Source organism: Homo sapiens, chromosome 4 (genome assembly GCF_000001405.40).
Source record: "Homo sapiens chromosome 4, GRCh38.p14 Primary Assembly".
Classification (NCBI taxonomy): domain Eukaryota; kingdom Metazoa; phylum Chordata; class Mammalia; order Primates; family Hominidae; genus Homo; species Homo sapiens.
Window position 1 is genome coordinate 65,695,304 of NC_000004.12, and position 22,381 is coordinate 65,717,684.

Genomic DNA, 22,381 nt, shown 5'->3' on the forward strand with positions numbered 1-22,381 from the left:
CTCCTTAGTCTGAAGTGAATACTGTTTTGATAAATTAATTGAATAAATAAATGACTAAAATGAATTTTATCATGTCATTTCTTTCAAGTGACACACCATGTGCCACAAAATGCTGCTACCTTTCACACATTGGGTGTCCTTTATATTTGGACATATTTTTTGCTCATGCAAAATGTTCTCAAATAGTTGTAAAGCAGAAAGAAGAATAATTTAACATCATGGTAATAATTTATGCTGCATTTTTTCTAAAACAAAGAAAAAGCAATCTTTTCTCCACTGCCATATAAGCTATGTATAGGATTTGCATCAAAATATAATGTTTGCACTGATACACAATTGTAAGCCCTCTTAGGGACTGGCCTGTTTGAGGTTTCTTGCATACTTTTACATTTTGCCTTTGGATTGCAGACGAAGCTGAAAAATGTGTGTGTAGATCTTGTTCTTTCTGACTCTTTCTTTGGGATGGCTTCTTTAACTGGATTTTGCCTAGTGTATTACTTACTATATTTTATCCATTCAAGATATTTTCCAATCAGCTCCTTTAAAAGGAAAAAAGTGACTATTTATATATTTTTCTTAATCTTTGATTTTAATTATTAACTTCACGAGGTATTTTCAACTTAATCAGAAGCCATTCCTAAATCACTTTTCTAAGGAAGCACACTCTTTTGCTAGCATCCTCTGCCATTGCCTTTTTTATTTCTCTTCACAGCTCTGAAGTCACCTATTTAAGTGTTTTATGCATTTGCTTACTCTCTGCCTTCCTCCTCTGTCATAAGCTTCATGAAACCAGGTACTTTTATCACAGCTTTTGAAATTATTATGTCCCTATATCCTGGCACATAGTGTGATTAATCAATATTTATTGAATGAGTGAATGGATGGATGGCTGAATTCATATTTTAATTCTAATTCATTATATCCCAGGAGAAGTTTTTGGCACAGAACATTAACTAGACTAAATTTACCCACTTTCAAATACATTTATCACACTTTTTTGCTATATATTAATAGATTTTAAATACAAAATAAAAACTGTGTTCATATATTAGAAAAAGTGAGTTCAAAAGTAGAGTACTTTTAATCCGACAACTGTTCTCCAATTATTTAATTGTCCAATCTTACTATTTAAATATAAATGAAATAACTAATTCAGTTTTTATATTCCTTCAAGTCAAAAGTCATAGTTTATTCCTGCCCTGTCACGTACCTTTCTGGCAAATGTGCTTTGCGTTCTCATTTAGAAACACTGGCAACTTATTTTAAAGTAGTCTATTTGTTCCTTGCTAGTTAAATGTGCGAGACACAGAAATAGAACATTTTGTGATGGAACAGATGCTGTGGCAATGGTGAGTTTATATGAGGATGCTGATGACAGATGCCACATTACAGCATTAGCCAATTAAAAAAAAATTATGGGTATTACTATTTACAATTACTCAAAATGAGCTGGGCTGTGGGCAACCCCGAATGCACAGTCTCACTCTCATGTTCTGTAAGTGATCATGTATTATGGGTGGAATAAATATTTCAAGCTAATTTAAAGAGGTATAAAGACAAAGTTATTTTAAGGCAGGTAGCGTGAATCACTTCTGTTAGGTTTCCTCTTAGGGAAGCACTTTATTCTTTATGACAAGAAGAGAGAAACTAAAGACAAATAAAACTTACTTGGAACAGAATTCATCGACAATGGTTAAGTAACTGAAATATGAGACAAGCAGAAATACTTCAGAAGAGAAAATAAAAGTTATAATATTGATAAGCAAATTTACTGTATTTTATTATTATAGAATTATGTTCTATCCTATATTACTAAAAATAAATGTATAATTTTCTTAAATATTTTTAGTTGTAATAAAAGGTTATTTATTATGAGAGGACTTTGATTTATATATGTGAAATAATCAAATTGAACATCAATCAATACATTATTATCTATAATCACTATGTTGTACAATAGTTAATAATAATGGATTTTATACATGAAAATTCCTAAAAAAGAAAAGCAGATCTTAAGTGTTCTCATCACAAATAAGGGAGAAGTATGTGAAGTAATGAATATATTGATTAGCTTGATTTAATCATTTCACAATGTCTACATACATCCACATATGTTATTATACACTGTAAATATTTTTAAATTTTATTTGTAGGTTATTCCTTGTTAAACCTCAGAGAAAAAATCAGTAAGTATGTGAAGGTCATTTTACAGTCTGTCAATGTTCAGTTTGACCAGGTTTCCTATCTCTAGCACTGATTATTTCACAATAGAGGTAACTGAAATGAACAAAGTATATTTGCCTTATTCTATGCCAAGTTTGAGTGGGCCTAAACACAGACTCAGAGATGAGAACTTGGGTACAAGTAATATATGGAAGTGGTAATCTAGAAGGTACAAATATGAAAGTAGGGAAAGTGAAGCAGAAAAGTTTGTGTTAATGAAATTACTGCTGTAGGCTATTGTTGCTTAACCCTCTGTGGCCCCTTTGGGAAACTAGGTAGAAAAGTCTTCAGAACTATCCCTCCGAAGGAATGGAGGTCTTGCTCTTATTCATTGACCACTTCATTTTCCATGGTTTCAGCGTTGCCTGAGGGAAGGACATTAACTCTCCAAAACCTGTAATTTGTCCTTTTTTGAATTCAAGCAAGTCTCAAGGTGACAATAGTCCTCAGGCAGACAAGAAGGAATAAGGGTTTGAGATGAATGGCTACAGCTGAGAGTATGCTGGTAAGTGTCAAATGAAATTGCTCATGAATTCATTTGGGGATGGGGCATCAGCATCCTCTGCTCCAGTGACTTTTGTGTTTTTGTGATATGCATCAAAGTGACTCCAGGAATGTGTGTGTGTACATATGTGTGTGGTATATATTCTGCATGCTTGTGTGTATACTTTAATTTTGCCTTAATATAAACATTTCTTGAAAACATGTATTTCACTGCTAGTAAAGTTTTGAGAAATTAATGAGTTCAACACAAATGGTGGTATATGAGAATAGCTATTGATGTGTTAATTTTGTGACAATTAACATTTTCTTCTTATTGTAGAAGTACAATATTGTAGGAAAACTTCAAACTAGAGTTATTGGAAATATCATAACTGAACATAAATGTAGTTTTCCTCATAACTGTTTTTGTTCTGGTGCCTCCTAAATCTTTCTATACTACTCTGGAGAATTTTCTCTCCATTAGGATGAATATGATTAAGTTCATATTAAGTTAATTTCCTTATAGTTTAGCATTAAAAACTAGATTTTAATCTACCAATATAAAATTTAGAATTTCTTTTTAGGGTCTTTTATTTATTGTGAGGCAGTTCCTTTCCTTCCTTCCTTCCTTCCTTCCTTCCTTCCTTCCTTCCTTCCTTCCTTCCTCTCCTCCTATTCCTCCTCCTCCTTCTTCTCATTATTCTTGTCAAAGATCAGGGGAAAAAGAGAAAAAAATAACTTGCTACATTGATTTGGAACAAAAAAAAAGAATGAGTATAGCTTGAGCTGTGTCCAGATCTGCTTTCTGCCATCTCTAGAATACTTGCAGTCTAAGCTCATATAAATGCCACTGAGTGAAAGGAAAAGGTCAGGGGAAACTGGTGGCTGCCGCTTTGTTCAACTTCTAGTCATACTAATCTGTGTACAGCCTATCCCTTGAGGCATCAAGCTCTTCCTTGAAATTCTCTGCTTCAGTTTCATTCATTTTCAGTAAAAGAATATTTTCTGAAACTCTTAAGATATATTGAAGGTCAGAGGCAGAGCTAAACAGGTGATGCCACTGGGTCTTTTGCAATAATAAATACAAACTTACTATTGGCATTGGGATTTTCTCATATATTTTTTCTTTCTTTTTAATATCATTAGTATAAAGAAAAAGTAACGATATTCTTTCTATGCTCCTCAAAATCAATAGGATAATCACCTTTTCTAAGCAATTAAAAGCTTCCAATCAAATAATCAATGTTTATAGAATTTTTGAAAATCACCAATGGTTCCCAAAAACACATTAGAGGTATGAGTAGCTGTTACAGATTTAGTGTGTATGTCCCGATGATCCCTTTTCTATCATTGCCAGTCCCCACGTCTTGCTATATTATATTTAGAGCAAGTCTTGTGCCCAAAGTTTATATGCAAGGAATTGGAAGAAATCTTATTATACTGCCAGCCAAATAATTGGGACTAGAAATTAAATTTTGAAGAGCTAGACATTCTACCTACAATGAGCAGCCGTGAAAGAACTAAGTCTGAGCTATCGTCCTGAGTGTCAAAGTTATAGAATTAAAGTACAAATACAAATTCCCCAGGAAGTAGCAGGTCTAAAAAGGCTAAAATTACAAAATAATCAGAATATGCCAGTATTAAGTTAAAGTGGTACCTGGGCCATCGCCAAGAAAGGATTTATAGGATGTATCACTTACTTTTTTCAGTTACCTAACATGCCGACTTATCACCTTAGTTTAAGGCAGCAGGAGAAACAGAGGTGGCAAATTTGAGAGATTCAAATAATTCATGAAAAAATGTGAGAATTTTAGGAATTTGATATCATTTTGAAATCCAATGAATAAATTGACACAACAATTTTACTCATAGTCATGGAGTTTCTATCTCAGGGAGACTATGCTTTTTTCCTTTTTGTAGCCTACATTTGCCTTCCTGAACATATCTCTTAAAGATATTGACCTGAAAGGAAGACTGAGCAGAGTTTGTGCCTTTCTGGTATTCACAGTTCCAGAGCCCAGTGTTCTTCCTTAGATGATGAGATTCAGTCAAACATTTTTCTGCAGTACAGTGTTGCTCTCACAGAAGAACACAATCTCTGCTCGTAGCTTTTATTGTAAAATTGTTCTTAAGCTCTAAGAGTGAGTGTCCAAGAGCTGCAAAGTGTCTACATCGATAAAGATCATATTTGGATTAAAATTTGAAGCTGTAACTTAAGGTTGTTATAGTTTCTATAGTGTAAAACATAGCAAATAAAATGTCTTTTTTTTGAGACAGAGTTTCACTCTTGTTGCCCAGGCTGGAGTGCAATGGCGCGATCTCGGCTCACAACAACCTCCGCCTCCTGGGTTCAAGCAATTCTCCTGCCTCAGCCTCCCGAGTAGCTGAGATTACAGGCATGTGCCAACAAGCCCGGCTAATTTTGTATTTTTAGTAGAGACGTGGTTTCTCCATGTTGATCAGGCTGGTCTTGAACTCCGGACCTCAGGTGATCCACCTCCCTCAGCCTCCCAAAGTGCTGGGATTACAGGTGTGAGCCACCGCGTCTGGCAAATGTCTTAATAAATACTAAACCTATGGACTAATAGAAATGGTTTAATAATCCATAAATGACACAATAATAACAAACAACATTTTAAATAAATTTAAATATGGAGATCGATTTTAATGAGAAAAAATAGACTTATTGGAGAAATCAAATGTGTCAAGTTTGAAACTGTAAATATATACCAATAAAATAGAAATTTAGCACATCCACTACATATCATTGTAATGGTTAATTTCATGTGTCAGTAGGCTACAGTGCACATATGTCTGGTCAAACACCAGTCTTAAAGTTCCTATGAAGGCATTTTTAATGGAATTAGCATTTCAATAGGAAGACTTTGAATAAACAGATCACTCTCCATAATGTGGATGGGCCTTATCTAATCTGTTGAAGGCCTAAGAAGAAAAGACTGAGGTGCCCCAAGGAAAAATGGAATTCTGTCTCCATACTGCCTTCAGAGGTGAGCCGCAGCATCGACTCTTCTCTGGATCTGTAGCCTGACAGCCTGACCTGTAGATTTCGTACTTACCAGTAATCACAGCTGTGTGAGCCAAATCTTTAAAATAAATTCTGTCTTTATTTTGCTGTCTCATATATATATATATGGGATATATATATTATATATATCAGATATATATATTATATATATATATATCCCATTAATTCTGTTTCTCTGGAGAATCCTGACTAATAGGATCACCATTATGTGTCATGACAGTAAAATAATTGGAGCTAGAACTTCAGAGAGGCACTGTGGCATGGGGAAAGAGTCAATAGACCACAGTATAAATTCTGCTTGTATTTTACTACTTGTATGTCTTTGAGCATTTAATTAGCCTTCAGAGTATTGATTACTTTATCCATAAAATGAAATGGGAGGTAAGAAGTTGGGAATAAGTGCTCCGAGTCATGTTTCAAGGACAGACTGGTAAAAAATTACATGAGAGTTCCTAGGATAGTGATTTTACATAGTAAGTGTTTAGATGCCATCTCTTTCCTTTATGATAGGGAGAAAACACAAACACAAATTATCTTGTTAAAATCATTGATTGTAGTATATCTCAGGAGATCAAAACTTTTTAGTATTCTAAAGGTGTTCTTAAATTATTAGCAACAGTCAGTAATTTCAGTGGTAAGTAGTAGAAATTCAGTTAAGCAGTAAACTATTATATCATTTTGATTGTGGCAAATTGAATAAATAAACACCAATGATTTGATAGTGAAGGTGAAGATAAAAAATTGAAAGGAATCTCTTTACAAAATAATGAGAACTAATAAATGATAAAGTTTGAAAATTCCCATTTTTTAACACTCCATGTTATAACCTATTCAAACATATAATCAGTGAATTGTAAAATCATTACATGAAATATTTTAGAGAACAAGATATGAACAGGGTGTTCATGTATCTATCCACACATTAATTATTCATTGTAAATTTTAAAAAATGCACATTAAAAAAGTGGCCAAACTCAGGAATACTCACAGAATTATATCCTTACATCATGGTTTTTCCAATGCGGTGCAATATAAAATAGTAAAGATTACCTATAAAATATTAATTCACAAAATGTTTAGTCTGCATCTATTCCAGCCTCAAGCCCTAACGTTCACTTACAGGAAATAAGAAGATAAAAGAACAAGGCCAACATCACAATGAGGAAACAATCACACATATTCAAAATGTTGGACATTCTCCAAGATAACCAGGGTGGAATAATCAATGTCATTTGAAAAAATGAGCAGACTATTTCATATCAGAAAAAGACTATGAAAGAATAAAGGAATGTAAGTAGCTTACCAAATAGATAAAATTTTATATTATTAATAGTAGAATTATTCAATAATTTGGAGAAGAAAACTAATGTGCTTTTTCAGAAATGTCATTCTTACAGCAATTTGGAAAAGTGATATATTTGTTTGGCAGTAGTGCTGTGTCTGAGAGAAGTGCAGGGCCTAAATTAAGTCTACATTAGGAGCCATTACGTTGTGGGACCTTAGATTTGGTGACTGATTAAATGTGATTTCTGAAGGAGTGTGTGAAACATCCTTGAATCTGCCTTAAATTATACTATCATATAGACACGAAATACAGTGAGTGGCATGATCATAGCAGGGGAAGTAGGGGAACAAAAACAGAGACACTGTGGCCATGTTAACCAAAGGTGGTAACTTCAACAGAGCAGTTTCTACACACCTTCCATTACACCTTATACATATGCTTACTGATAATACTGATTATGCTTCATTGCAGAATTCTTAGTAGACTTGAATTAAGTAGATTTTTAACTAAAATTTATAGGCTGACCCAGTTTCCTTTGCTCATGCTCAGTTTTGGAGACTTATCTACACTACTGAGATGCAGCCATTGGAACATGTTCCAGGTTTTACTAGACTATTCAAATATTGGCACAGACATTCCAATGAGACCACATTCATCCACATATGTCATTGTGGACAGCATGTTATTTAACCATTTTACTAATGATTATTGAATGGGTAGAAAGAGTCAAGTATACCAGAGATATAGTATTTATTCTCATTAAGAAATTTGTATTCTATAGTACTTGACCAAAAGCCATGGGACAACTGCACACACACACACACACACACACGTACTAAATTCTAAGGTGCTACTGATTGTAACACATATGGTTATTTTATATAATACAGTGAAAATAAGAATTATCAAATTATGCATAATTTAAAAATGCATCTCAAAGTTCAGTAATACCATACATCCATTTAAATACATCCATTTAAAAATGCATCTCTAAGTCCAGTAATACCATATTGGGGGATTTAATGTGTCCTGATATAGACAAAATGCTTTGTTTCAATATAGTGCATATCACTGTTTTAACACAGTGGGTTGACCACATTAATTGAAATAAGGGGATTAGTAAGGCTTAACAGAAAGAAAATTGGCTAGTTCTACTCAAAGGATTAGAAGTTATCAGACCATGATCAAAAGAGGTTGCTTTTGTTTACCTGTTTGTTTTTTCATTTTGTCATCTTAGCTATTACTTCACAGAGATACCAGAACAAACAGGAGAAAGTACAATATTTATATCTGTATTTGATAGAATTTAGATTTGAGAATGGAGAGAGATGCAGAAATGTACATGTGGGTTTATGCAGACATTGAAGAGTCAAAATTCCTTCCAGTATTTGTATTGATTACATTCTGTAGGTTATGGATGGATCCTCACATAGGTTGAGTGGGCTAGACAAGACAATATTGCTTGAGCACTGGCCTGACAAGTGAGAAAGTGGAGAAGGAAACAAAGAAAAGCCTCAACAAACACATGGAAGCATGAAAGAAATGGCCTCTTTGGACCATTATCTATTTTAGTATTGCGGACTATATATTATAATGGTGGATGATTCTGAAAATGAGGCTAGGCAGTTAGGCAGAGTCATACCATGTAGGAATGTATGTCATCCTAAGGAATTGAACTTTATACTTTTAATTAATGTGTGGTTATTGCTTTTATTTTTATAAATAATAGCTTTTGTGATGATAAAAATAATACATTATCAATAAAAATAAGATTCTCAGTATAATATTTTCACCTATATAAGAGTATAAGGAAAAAGTTAAAAGTTATCTCAAATATACAACTCAGCTACACCACTGTTACCAATTTGAGAACTATTCTTTCCAATATTTCTCTGAGTAAGCAACACTAATACACACAGACACACACACACACACACGCATGCATAATTGCTCCATATCCTCTTTAATCTTAAGGAGTTTTTTAGGTAAGTACTGTATTTCATTTGTGTGTTATATATTATATATTAAAGTAAATATGTATGCTATATATCATATTATATATTTATTTATAATATAAAGATTATATTTATATGATTTATATATGAATGTAGATTCTAGAAGATACATGTGCTATGATTGAGGGTCTGCAATCTTTCACCATTATTGCTTTATTTATTATACCAAGGAACATGACAAATGTTTGCAATCTGACTTGACCATTTTTACTGTCTTTGCTGTGCTTGTTTTTTTATTGTTTTTCTTTCTTTTTTTAAATTCTCGGTTTTTGAATTTTCTTTTGAATATTTGCATTATTACATTTTTAAATTTTAGCATCCTAGTGAATATCTAACAACAGAATCATTATTATCTGCAAATGAAACTATTTTTCTATAAAATCGTCTTGTATAAGATACATATTTTCCCACAGAGGCTACATAATGTGTGCATGAAGTTTCAGATATATTTAATAGGCTATACTTGGTCACTCTGGAGATAATCTGTAAAAATAAGGCATAGTTTTTTGCTAGCAAAAAACAAAATAGAATGTGATCAACATTTCAAAAGGACTCTTACATGCTCTATTCAAGCACTACTGACAGTAAAAATAGCATGGTTACCAGCATGGAGACAGAACTCCCCAGTTATCTGATTCATCCATGTAGCACTTTATTATGTGCCAGGCCCTGTAGGGGTGCTCAATATTAATGGTGATGCCATTGTGGCAAGTGCATACTGATGACTTACAGCCTTTGAAATGTCATATATACTCATATCCACATGAAATCTATAAGTGTGTATTTAAAATACAAAGTCACATTTTTCAAGTAAACTTTGGAAAATGCAAAATAAAAAGCTGAACAGCCTCTACTGCAGTTGATGTTTTGGTCATACAGACAACATCTAATTTATTTATTTTGAATTGATTTTACTAGTTTATGATTTTATAATGTCATATGTTAATTTATTTACAGATCATAGCTGTGGTGCTGAGAACATAACCTACTCCCATTGGTTTCCAACAACTGAGACCTTGAACAGTGACTTCTTAGCTGTAAATCCCAGAATCTTCTGTTTCAAATCAATTCTTCAGGAAAAAGAGGACAAAATATAAACCCAAGTGGAGAGAGTACTAAAAGACACAAGATTTTTTTTTAGAGAATTTATCAATCTAATATGAGCAATTAATTATTTATGATGGTTCCTATGTTTCACAGAGAAGTTGAAGAAATAAGATTAGAACCATCTTATGGGCTCTGGGTAAGGCTCTGCAATCTTTCACCATTTTTGCTTTATTTATTATACCAAGTAGCATGACAGATGTTTGCAATTTGACTTGAACATTTTCATTGTCTTTGCTTTTTTTGTTTCTTTCTTTTTAAAAATCCATGGTTTTTTAATTTCCTTTTCAATATTTGCATCCTTTTATGGAATATAAGAGACCACTTATATGCACAAGAGTTATCTCTTGTGGGTCTCACTATTATTATCATCAAAATGCCTGAAATTACCTGTGAGGGAACATTATAAAGTAAATGATAAAGAAATAATTTAATGTTACACATTAGGTAACCTCTAGGAATATATGCTGGAACCATAGGAAGACATTGGGCAGGAAGAACAATAAAAATATTTGGATTGGAAGTAAAAATGCTAATCTACTTGTCAGAAAGGTCATGTCTACAGTCAACAACTGTTCAAATAGAAGCTTTAAAGCGAGGCTCAGCACACTTTTCTGTAGAGCCAGACAACAAATATCTCCGGCTTTGTGGTCCATATGGTCGACACTGCAACTACTAGAGTCTGCCATTGTAGCACGCAAACAGCCATAGACCATATGTGAATGAATGGTGTGGCTGTGTTCCAAAAGCCTTATTTACAAAAACAAGGGAAGTGTTAGACTTCTTCAGATCTTGGTGTGCTAGTCCTTGCTTTACACAACTAAGATGAGTGTGAACTATATTTCAAATAGAAGTGAGAGCCCCAAAGGTGGGCAAACCATTATAGTAAGATGGTCAAGTTGCCTAGGCAGGGGCAATTTAGACATCTAGACATCATAATTTTGAGTGAGCTATCAATTTATTCAGGCAGGTTTTCTAAGTCTTAGATTAAAGGGGTAGGTTGGAATTTAGGGTTAGATTCTACCTCACTGAGACAAAATGATACAAATAAAAAGTTCATGACAAGGATAGATAAAGACCGTGAACTTACTAGAACATACTAAGTACAGCTGCTCATAGCAACAAGGTTTATTTCAGATCTTACCTGTTGCTAGCACCATATATTACTCTAACATGCTTGCTCAATTTGCTGTCCCATGGAAAAAATAATTGGTTGAGAACTAGTCAGAAGAGTCTTTGTAACTACTTTAAGGACAAAAGTAATGTTGCTGTTGTGTCCTCAATATATATATACAATAGTGCCTGGAACACAATAGACATTTAGTGATCATTCCTTGTGTACCTAGAACTTGATACCTATTAAATATTTTTCTAGTAGAAGTTTGTAAATTAATACTACAGGATTTTTAGCATTTATTCTTTTATAATATTATATATAAAATTTTACTGATAGACAATGTCTTCCAGTTCTTTATACTATCCTTTGCCACTTTAATTCAAAAGCATATTAAATTATATTTTATATTAAAAATTTAATTCTAAGAGTAAGAATTACAGTTATAAAAATATCCCAGGTGATCAAAGATATGGAGCTATTGCCTAATGACAGACATTATAGTATAGTGGTGAATACAGAAATTTAATTTTTCATCTCCTCCTGTCACTCCCTCTTAAGACATTTTAGGGTCACCCTCCATGAGGTAGCAGATTCATTAGCTTCTACTTTAAATCCTGCCTCAGAGTAGAAATCAGTCAGCTCTGTTGAGGGAATTCCTGAGCAGAAAAAAATATCTTTCTAGGACATTAGAGAGCAATTGAGTATTTAAAGAGTCATTCAAAGAAGAACCTTCAGTAAGCATTAGAGTAAGCAACTTTACCTATATTTTTTAAAAAGGAGAGCTGAGTCAACTCAGGCAAAAGAAATTGAATATGTCATTTTAAAGAGTCTCAATATAACAGAAATGAAATGTGTCACTAATCCACCTTGCCAGCTTATACAGCTTTTGAGAGTGAAAGACTCTTAGTAATGACATTGATTATTATTAAATGTTAGTAGCTCAGTGTTGTAGAGAATATAAACAGCAGTATTTATAGACTCTTGGTAAAATGTATTTTAACTTTTTAAAGACATTGCAGAGTTGGCTATCTTCTCTAACACAACATATTGTAGAATTGTCATTTAATATTTCGTAGAACTAGCTAGAGCAACTATTCTTTCTTAAGTGGCACATGTTCATTTTCTGTATTTTCCTCATCTTTACCACCTGCTAGCAGTGTTTCAGGCAACAAAACAGCAGTGTTCTCACCAGACAGTATAGCCTCCTCCAAAATGGTAGCAATCCCAAAGATTCACAATAAAACAAAACCTTTAAGACTATGATAAATGGTTTTTATTTCTTTTTTAAAAACAGTTCTTCCTTTATTCTTTAATCTTTAAACACTGAGTTGAAATGGATGATTGAAAATATTATTTGGGGTATATTGTTGTACACATAAGAGAGTAAATTTTAAGAGCTGAATTAAATTTCTCACTCTACCTTTTCTTTCAGTTTATTTTTAAATATATATATTTGTAGAAGCAGTTATCTGCCATCCGGAAATTAATTCTCATTTTCTTGGATTATTTTATGGTGACTACTTTCTAAGTATTTTATCCTTTAGTGAACAAATGGTCTTTCTTTCCAGTTAGAAGGTGATCCTCAATAATTATGTTCTTTTCTTTAACCAAAACCTTGTTTCAATTATGACATTTTGTTGATATGTAAAAATTCTGAAGAAATAAAAGCAAAAAATATTGAATAATAATTTTGTTTAAACAACATATTTAGAATATTGAATGACCCTGTTTAAACAATATATTTAGAATGTCTTATTGGTAGAAAATGTCTTCATGAATTTTTCAATGGTTGATTTTTATAGGTATTGTACATTTTGTATCTTAAAGGAACATTAAACTTTAAATACAATTAAGAGAGAGGAATCTGTAAATTACCTTGGGCAGTATGGCCATTTTCACGATATTGATTCTTCCTACCCATGAGCATGGAATGTTCTTCCATTTGTTTGTATCCGCTTTTATTTCCTTGAGCAGTGGTTTGTAGTTCTCCTTGAAGAGGTCCTTCACATCCCTTGTAAGTTGGATTCCTAGGTATTTTATTCTCTTTGAAGCAATTGTGAATGGGAGTTCACTCATGATTTGGCTCTCTGTTTGTCTGTTGTTGGTGTATAGGAATGCTTGTGATTTTTGTACATTGATTTTGTATCCTGAGACTTTGCTGAAGTTGCTTATCAGCTTAAGGAGATTTTGGGCTGAGATGATGGGGTTTTCTAGATAAACAATCATGTCGTCTGCAAACAGGGACAATTTGACTTCCTCTTTTCCTAATTGAATACCCTTTATTTCCTTCTCCTGCCTGATTGCCCTGGCCAGAACTTCCAACACTATGTTGAATAGGAGCGGTGAGAGAGGGCATCCCTGTCTTGTGCCAGTTTTCAAAGGGAATGCTTCCAGTTTTTGCCCATTCAGTATGATATTGGCTGGTGGGGACTGTGGTGGGGAGGGGAGAGGGGGGAGGGATAGCATTGGGAGATATACCTAATGCTAGATGACGAGTTAGTGGGTGCAGCGCACCAGCATGGCACATGTATACATATGTAACTAACCTGCACAATGTGCACATGTACCCTAAAACTTAAAGTATAATTAAAAAAAAAAAAAAGAGAGAGGAAAAGGAAATGTTTAATCAAAATATAAAATATTTTAAATTGCTTCCTATAGTAGTAAGAAAATCAATAAAATTAATGATTAAACAGTTCAGAAGAACTAAACATTAATATCCATTTATAAGAAAGAAATGTGATGACAGATTAGGCTGAGTAGGATGTTATTCACTTACAATTTTAAAAATAAAACTGTGTAGGTGGGCTTTGTTATTTTACACCAATTTCACTAAAATGAAGTAGAGACTTGAATGGCTAACAATGTAAAAAATTACATGATAGTGCTTTCGTATTTTTGAAATGAGAAATAGTCAGAAAAAATATTTACAAGAGCAACCTTTAGAGTGTCCCAATATACATTTATGAGTTATCACGCTAATTTGCAAAATGTAAGAAAAAATTACAAAATAGACAACATAGTTTACCTGATAAATGTTCAATTTAATTGAATAAATTCATTTAAGCACTTCTGAAAGATATTGTGTTAAGTTTTGGGTATATAAAAATAAATTTTAAAATGCCTGACTTCAAGGAATTCACAATATATTATGAAGATAGACAAGTTAAACCAACTATTTCAATAAAGTGTGATCAATTTCCTAAAGAAAAGAATAAAATATCCTAAAAATCCAGAAAAGTGGTGGCCCAAAGTCAGCTTATGGTAGTAGTGAAAAAGTTTGGGAAAATTTTCTAAAGAAAATCAACTGAATAAAGTATTAAAGAGTAAATGACATTAATTCAAGCAAACAGGTTAGGCAGAAATATTCTAGTCCATACCAAAAAACGTTTCCCAACTAAATGCAGACATATATAGATCTACAAAATCATACATGTAGCATGTAGGTTTTTTTAAAAAAGACAGATGGTTAGCACCACCAGTATTAACCTGTGGTGTTATGTCTTTCACAAGATTTTTGAAATGAGGAGCACTCAACAGATGTGGGAGATAAGGAAATAATTTTGAGATATTACTGACAAATGAGGATTGTGACTTATTTTTTTAATTTACTCTGTTAACTTCCCAAAATTATGTAATATATTTTACATAGAAATAAATACTTTAAAAGGTCAATGGAGTTTAAGCTGTTGTTTAGCTCAAATAACCCTCTTACAGAGAGAAATGATAAAGTAGAAAATAAAAAAAAGTTTGAGTGCCATGTAGAGTGATGAAAGCTAGCAGAAGCTGAAGAGGAGTCTGCTCTTAAATAGAAATTAAAATAAGTGTGATATGTGAATTAACAGATTTTTGTTGGAAGTTACCCTCCAATGGAGTACTGTTACTGCAGTAGAAGACTATGGCCTTATTAACTTAAGAGTTTGGTACTGGGAAAGCAGTCAGAAATGTAGAGAAAAATATCTGGAAAAGAAGGAGTTGTATAAGAGATGAAAGCCCCCCAAAATGTATAAAAAGCGCACAAATCTTGATAAAACATTTAATTTTAATAATGAATGAAAAAGAGCATGGGGTCCTGACAAAATCCTAGATGCTCAAAACTGAAAAATCTGAGTGAAGATTTTAGTTGCTTCCCACAAAGGGGAAACACAGTTTATTATAACAAAATCCAGTGTTTGTATAATGTACAATTTGTAATGTTGAATCAAATATCACTAGAATGAAAAAAATTAAAATATGCCATTTTCACAGAGAAAAAAATGCAATCAATAAAAAACTTTCCTAAAATTTTCAAGACATTATAATCAGCAGTATCAAAGTTTTTATTAAAATATACTTCATGACTTAACACAAAATATGATTAATAAACAAATGAGGAATATCAACGGATTAGAACTAAAAAAAAAATCAAAGCAATGAAACTAAAAGTACAACTGAAATGAAAATTTCACTTCATGAAATTGATAAAAGATAGGAGGTAGCAAAATAAAAAGCATTAGTGAACTTGAATGCAGATCAATTAAAATATTGAATGTGAATAAAGAGAAATATTAAGTGCTCTAACATATGTATAATTGGAGTTCGATAGGAGAGGATAGAGACAATGGGGCAGAAAAATATTTGAATATATTAAACAAAAAGAAAAAAGCAAAAATTTGGAGGAAAAGCATCAAACTGTACATACGAACACCTCAACAAACCATGTCATTGTAAACTGTAGATATCAAAACATAAAGAACACCTAAAAGGGTCCAGACATAAATGACATATTACAAACACAGCTATTCAAATAATAGCTGACTTCTCATTAGGAAAAATATGATGGTTAGACTACAATAGAACCATAACCCTAATGTGCTGGGAGAAAACAGAAGGACAATAAAAGACAATTTAGGTAAACCAAAATCAAGACCATTCATTGCATTGAGACTTATGTACAGAAAATGCTAAAGGAAGTAACTCAGGATGAAGGAAATTACACTAGATTATAGCTTGATTATACATAAAGGGGTACAGTTGCAAAATGTTAATAGTATAAAAGACTAATATTTCTTCAAGTAAAATAAAGTAAAAAGGACTAGATGTATAATCTCATTTGAAACAACCAAAAATTGAAACTAAATAAATGAAACAACGAATCACATCCAGCAATGCAGAAGTGATCCCTTAGACATGGTAAAGAAATAAAATGAACTATACAATTGCCTCTGCTTGCTGTCTGAGAATGTAATTCAGGCAGAACTCAGCTATCTCGTTGAGGAGATAGATCTGAGAACTCAGATAATCCAAGGCAGCTAAGGTTCACAGTACAGAGTATGACAGAAGAGAAAGGCATACACATGCACACACACACATCCCAGCCCCCAAACACACACCCCACACAGGGCTCCAGGGTTCTGCAAAAGATTAGCAAAATACTAATTAATGAATACGTGTATGAAAAATATCTATTTCTAGTCACCAAAAAATGACTAGAAATAACAATCCTCAAAGCTCAGAGTGAGGAATATTGCCTGTTCTCAAAAGACAAAGTGGAGTACTTCTGAATTTATGAAGTTGCAGGTGGAGTACTAAGAAAGTTTTCCTCAGTAGTTTGTAAAATTAATATGAAAAACAGCTCCACTCCCTCCCACCTAGTAAAGTTAGAACTCAGTATCCACAATGGTCAAATCATTTCCAGGTAAGTTAATTGTGCCCTGGGAGAATGCTAAAAAATATTCATAGGAACACAAAAAATATCTAGACCAAGCAACGACAAATCCAAAATGGGTCTATCACCCAATAGAAAATTACCATGCACTCAAGAAGCAGAACATTCTGCCTGTAACTAAAAGAAAAAAAAAATCTATCAAAATAGTCCTAGAAATAATGCAGATGATAGAGTTAGACATTTAATACATAGCAAGAGAAAATATCACAAATGAAATACAGAATAAAAAAGACAGGAAAAAATCAGGGAATTATCAATGTGGGTGATAAAATTTCTAGTGAGATATAAAAATTTCCTGGAATAAATAACATGTTTTTATATTGATAAAGGGCCAGTTTCTCAGAAGGATATGACAGTCTTATTTTTTTTTTCACTTCTAATCCAACTTAAAAATTAATGAAGGGAAAACTTCCAGGAGAAATAAAGGAATCCACAAATACAGTTAGAGCTCTTAACACTCTGTCTCAATAGTTTATAAAACATTTATAACATCAGTAAATATGATATTATAAAACATTTATAATATCAGTGTTCTGGTTGACAGAACACTATCAACCAACTTGACCCAATGGACATTTGTACAACAGTCCACCCTATTACAACAGAATACACATTCTTTTCAAGTGTTTATAGGACATTTACAAAGACAAAACGTAATCTCTCAGCAAACATACCTCAATACATGTAAAAATGATTCAGGCCATACAAAGCAAATGTCTTCCAATGATGGAACTAAATACTAAAGAATTACAAAAGAGATATATGGAAAATCTCCAAATATTTTGAAACCAAATGACACATGTACATGTTATCTATGGGCCAAAGAAGAAATGTAAATGCATATTAGAAAGTAGTTTGAGCTGAATGAAAATGTAAATGAAATATGTCAAAACATATGGGAGGCTGTTAAAGAAAAAAAGAGGGAAATAATAAGGGGGAATTCTCAAATTAGAAAATAAATAATTTTCAAATCAGAGACTTCGGCTTCTACTTTAAGAAACTAACAAAAGGAGATCAATTTAAAGCCAAAGTATGCAGAAAAAAATAAGGTCAGAGCAGAAATCAAATAATTTAAACTTAGAAAAAATAAGTAAATGAAGCCAAAAACTGATTATATGAAAGATAAATAAAAATAATAATTATCTAGCTAGGCTGATCAGCCTCCAAAATGAAGAAATTACAAATTACCAGTATCAGATGTGAGCGAAATGCTATCACTTGAAATTCTAGACATTATAAAGAGAAAAGGCAACGTAAACAACTTTAGGTAAGTGAATTCGACCACTTAGTTTATGTCTTTTAAATACATAAACTAAAAAACGTTTTCCCAAGAAAAACCTTGTATCTCTGAAAGACATTGAGTTTTTAATTAAAAACTTTGCAGAAGAATACACAATGTTTTCACTTGGAGAATTCTACTAAACATTAAGCAATAAATAATATCATTTTTTAAAATAAAATCTTCCAGAAAATTTAAGAGAAATGATATACTCTATGTTGTTCTGTAAAACTATAATAGCATTTCTCTGATGCAAAAATCAGAAAAAAGTTGCACAAGGAAAGAAAACCATGAATCAATATTACTTGGAACACAGATGCTAAAGTTTTAAACATGATTTTAGCAACATAATACAGCAAATATAAAAAGGCTAATACATAATGCGTAAGTAAGATTTATCCACAGAAAGTAAGGTTAATTCAACGATTGGAAATCAATCACTATAATTTACCACACTAACAGGCAAACACTAGCAACAATGTCATATAATCTTTTCAATAGATGGAAAAAATGTCTGATACAATTCAACACCTATTTTTGAAAAAGAAAAAAAAAAAACTCTCGGCAAGGTAAGAGTAGAAGGAATCTTCCTCAGCCTGATAAGGGGTAATTACCAATAACCAAAGTTAACCTTATATCTCATAGTAAAAGACTGAATATTTCCCAATAAGATAAAAAAGAATCCAAGTGTATCCACTGTTAGCACTTCTACTGACCATTGTACTAGAGATTTTAGTTAGCACAATATGATAAGAAAAAAAAAACACATTCATATTAGAAAAGAAGTAAATCTATATTTGTAGATGACATAATCATCTCCAGAGATAATTTTATGGACCCTACACAAAAAGCTTCTGGCTAGGCAATGTGGCTTATGCCCATAATCCCAGCACTTTGGGAAGCCAAAGTAAGTCGAAACAAGCCTGGACAACATGGGGAAACCCCCTCTCTACTAAGAACACAAAAATTAGCTGGGTGTGTTGGTGTGCCTGTAGCCTCAACTAATCTACTCCGAAAGCTAAGGTGGGAGAATCACCTTAGCACCAGAAGCTGAGGCTTCAGTAAGCCAAGATCTTGCCACTGCACTCTAGGCTGGGCAATAGGAGTGAGACCAGGTCTCAAAGGAAAAAAAAAAATTGCTGAGGAGTGCTTTATTTCCAAAGATGTGGTCAATTTTGGAATAGGTGTGGTGTGGTGCTGAAAAGAATGTATATTCTGTTGATTTGGGGTGGAGAGTTCTGTAAATGTCTATTAGGTCTGCTTGATGCAGAGCTGAGTTCAATTCCTGGATATCCTTGTTAACTTTCTGTCTCGATCTATCTAATGTTGACAGTGGGGTGTTAAAGTCTCACGTTATTATTGTGTGGGAGTCTAAGTCTCTTTGTAGGTCTCTAAGGATTTGCTTTATGAATCTGGGTGCTCCTGTACTGGGTGCATATATATTTAGGATAGTTAGCTCTTCTTGTTGAATTGCAGATGACATGACTGCATATCTAGAAAACCCCATCATCTCAGCCCAAAATCTCCTTAAGCTGATAGGCAACTTCAGCAAAGTCTTAGTATACAAAATCAGTGTGCAAAAATCACAAGCATTATTACACACCAATAACAGAGAGCCAAATCATGAGTGAACTCCCATTCACAATTGCTTCAAAGAGAATGAAATACCTAGGAATCCAACTTACAAGGGATGTGAAGGACTTCTTCAAGGAGAACTACAAACCACTGCTCATTGAAATAAAAGAGGTTACAAACAAATGGAAGAACATTCCATGCTCATGGATAGGAAGAATCAATATTGTGAAAATGGCCATACTGCCCAAGGTAATTTATAGATTAAATGCCATCCCCATTAAGCTACCAATGATTTTCTTCATAGAATTGGAAAAAACTAACTTAAAGTTCATATGGAACCAAAAAGAGCCCACATTGCCAAGTCAATCCTAAGCCAAAAGAACAAAGCTGGAGGCATCATGCTACCTGACTTCAAACTATACCACAAGGCTACAGTAACCAAAACAGCATGGTACTGGTACCCAAACAGATATATAGACCAATGGAACAGAACAGAGCCCTCAGAAATAATGTCGCATATCTACAACCATCTTATCTTTGACAAACCTGACAAAAACAAGCAATGGGGAAAGGATTCCCTATTTAATAAATGGTGCTGGGAAAACTGGCCAGCCTTATTCAGAAAGCTGAAACTGGATCCCTTCCTTACACCTTATACAAAAATTAATTCAAGATGGATTAAAGACTTACATGTTAGACCTAAAACCATAAAAACCCTAGAAGAAAACCTAGGCAATACCATTCAGGACATAGGCATGGGCAAGGACTTCATGTCTAAAACACCAAAAGCAATGGCAACAAAAGCCAGAATTGACAAATGGGATCTAATGAAACTAAAGAGCTTCTGCACAGTGAAAGAAACTACCATCAGAGTGAACAGGCAACCTACAGAATGGGAGAAAATTTTTGCAGTCTACTTATCAGAAGGGCTAATATCCAGAATCTGCAATGAACTAAAACAAATTTACAAGAAAAAAACAAACAACCCCATCAACAAGTGGGCGAAGGATATGAACAGACACTTCTCAAAAGAAGACATTTATGCAGCCAAAAAACACATGAAAAAATGCTCATCATCACTGGCCACCAGAGAAATGCAAATCAAAACCACAATGAGATACCATCTCACACCAATTAGAATGGTGATCATTAAAAAGTCAGGAAACAACAGGTGCTGGAGAGGATGTGGAGAAATAGGGACAGTTTTACACTGTTGGTGGGACTGTAAACTAGTTCAACCATTGTGGAAGTCAGTGTGGCTATTCCTCAGGGATCTAGAACTAGAAATACCATTTGACCCAGCCATCCCATTACTGGGTATATACCCAAAGGATTATAAAACATGCTGCTATAAAGACACATGCACATGTATGTTTATTGTGGCACTATTCACAATAGCAAAGACTTGGAACCAACCCAAATGTCCAACAATGATAGACTAGATTAAGAAAATGTGGCACATATACACCATGGAATACTATGCAGCCATAAAAAAGGATGAGTTCACGTCCTTTGTAGGGACATGGATGAAGCTGGAAATCATCATTCTCAGCAAACTATCGCAAGGTCAAAAAACCAAACACCGCATGTTCTCACTCATAGGTGGGAAATGAACAATGAGAACACATGGACACAGGAAGGGGAACATCACACACCAGGGCCTGTTGTGGGGTGGGGAGAGGAGTTAGGGATAGCATTAGGAGATATACCTAATGTTAAATGACGAGATAATGGGTGCAGTACACCAACATGGCACATGTATACATATGTAACAAACCTGCACATTGTGCACATGTACCTTAAAACTTAAAGTGTAATTTAAAAAAAAAAAAACCACAATGAGAGACTATTAGACCCCCACCAGAAAGGTTGCAATTAGAAAGCTGACAACACTCGAATATCAGTGATGATGTGAAGACACCAAAACTCTCGTTCACTGCTGATAGGATTGTAAACAGTACAATCACTTTGGAAATTAAGGATTGGAAGTTCTTACAAAGATAAATATTTGATCCTCCAATGTCACTTCCAGGTATTTAACCAAGAAAATTTAATATCTTTGTCAACAGAATGATGCGTGTGCAAATGTTCAGAATAGCTTCATTCATAACAGCCAAAAACTATAAATAACTCATATTTCAATCATCAGGAGAATGAATAATTGATGTGTGATTTATTGATATAATTAATCAATATTATGCAGAACTCCCCTTCCTAAAATCAAAGCACAATAGATTACCTATTCATACAACAACATGGGTGAAAGTTGTAGAGATTATCTCGAGGCAATTAAGCTGGAAATAAAAAAGTACACACTTTATGATGCCATGTACATGAAGTTTTATAATATGTAAAACTGTCTCTTCGAAAAAAAAAAGAAACAGAATTATGGTTTTCTCTGGGCTCAAGAGCAAGTGACTGTCAAGGGACATGAGAAAGTATTTGAGGTGATGAAAGCAGTCTATATCTTTATAGGAAATGTTGGCTATATGTTGCCCATTTACCAAAACTATACATTTAATATCTGTGTATTTTATTTATGCAAAT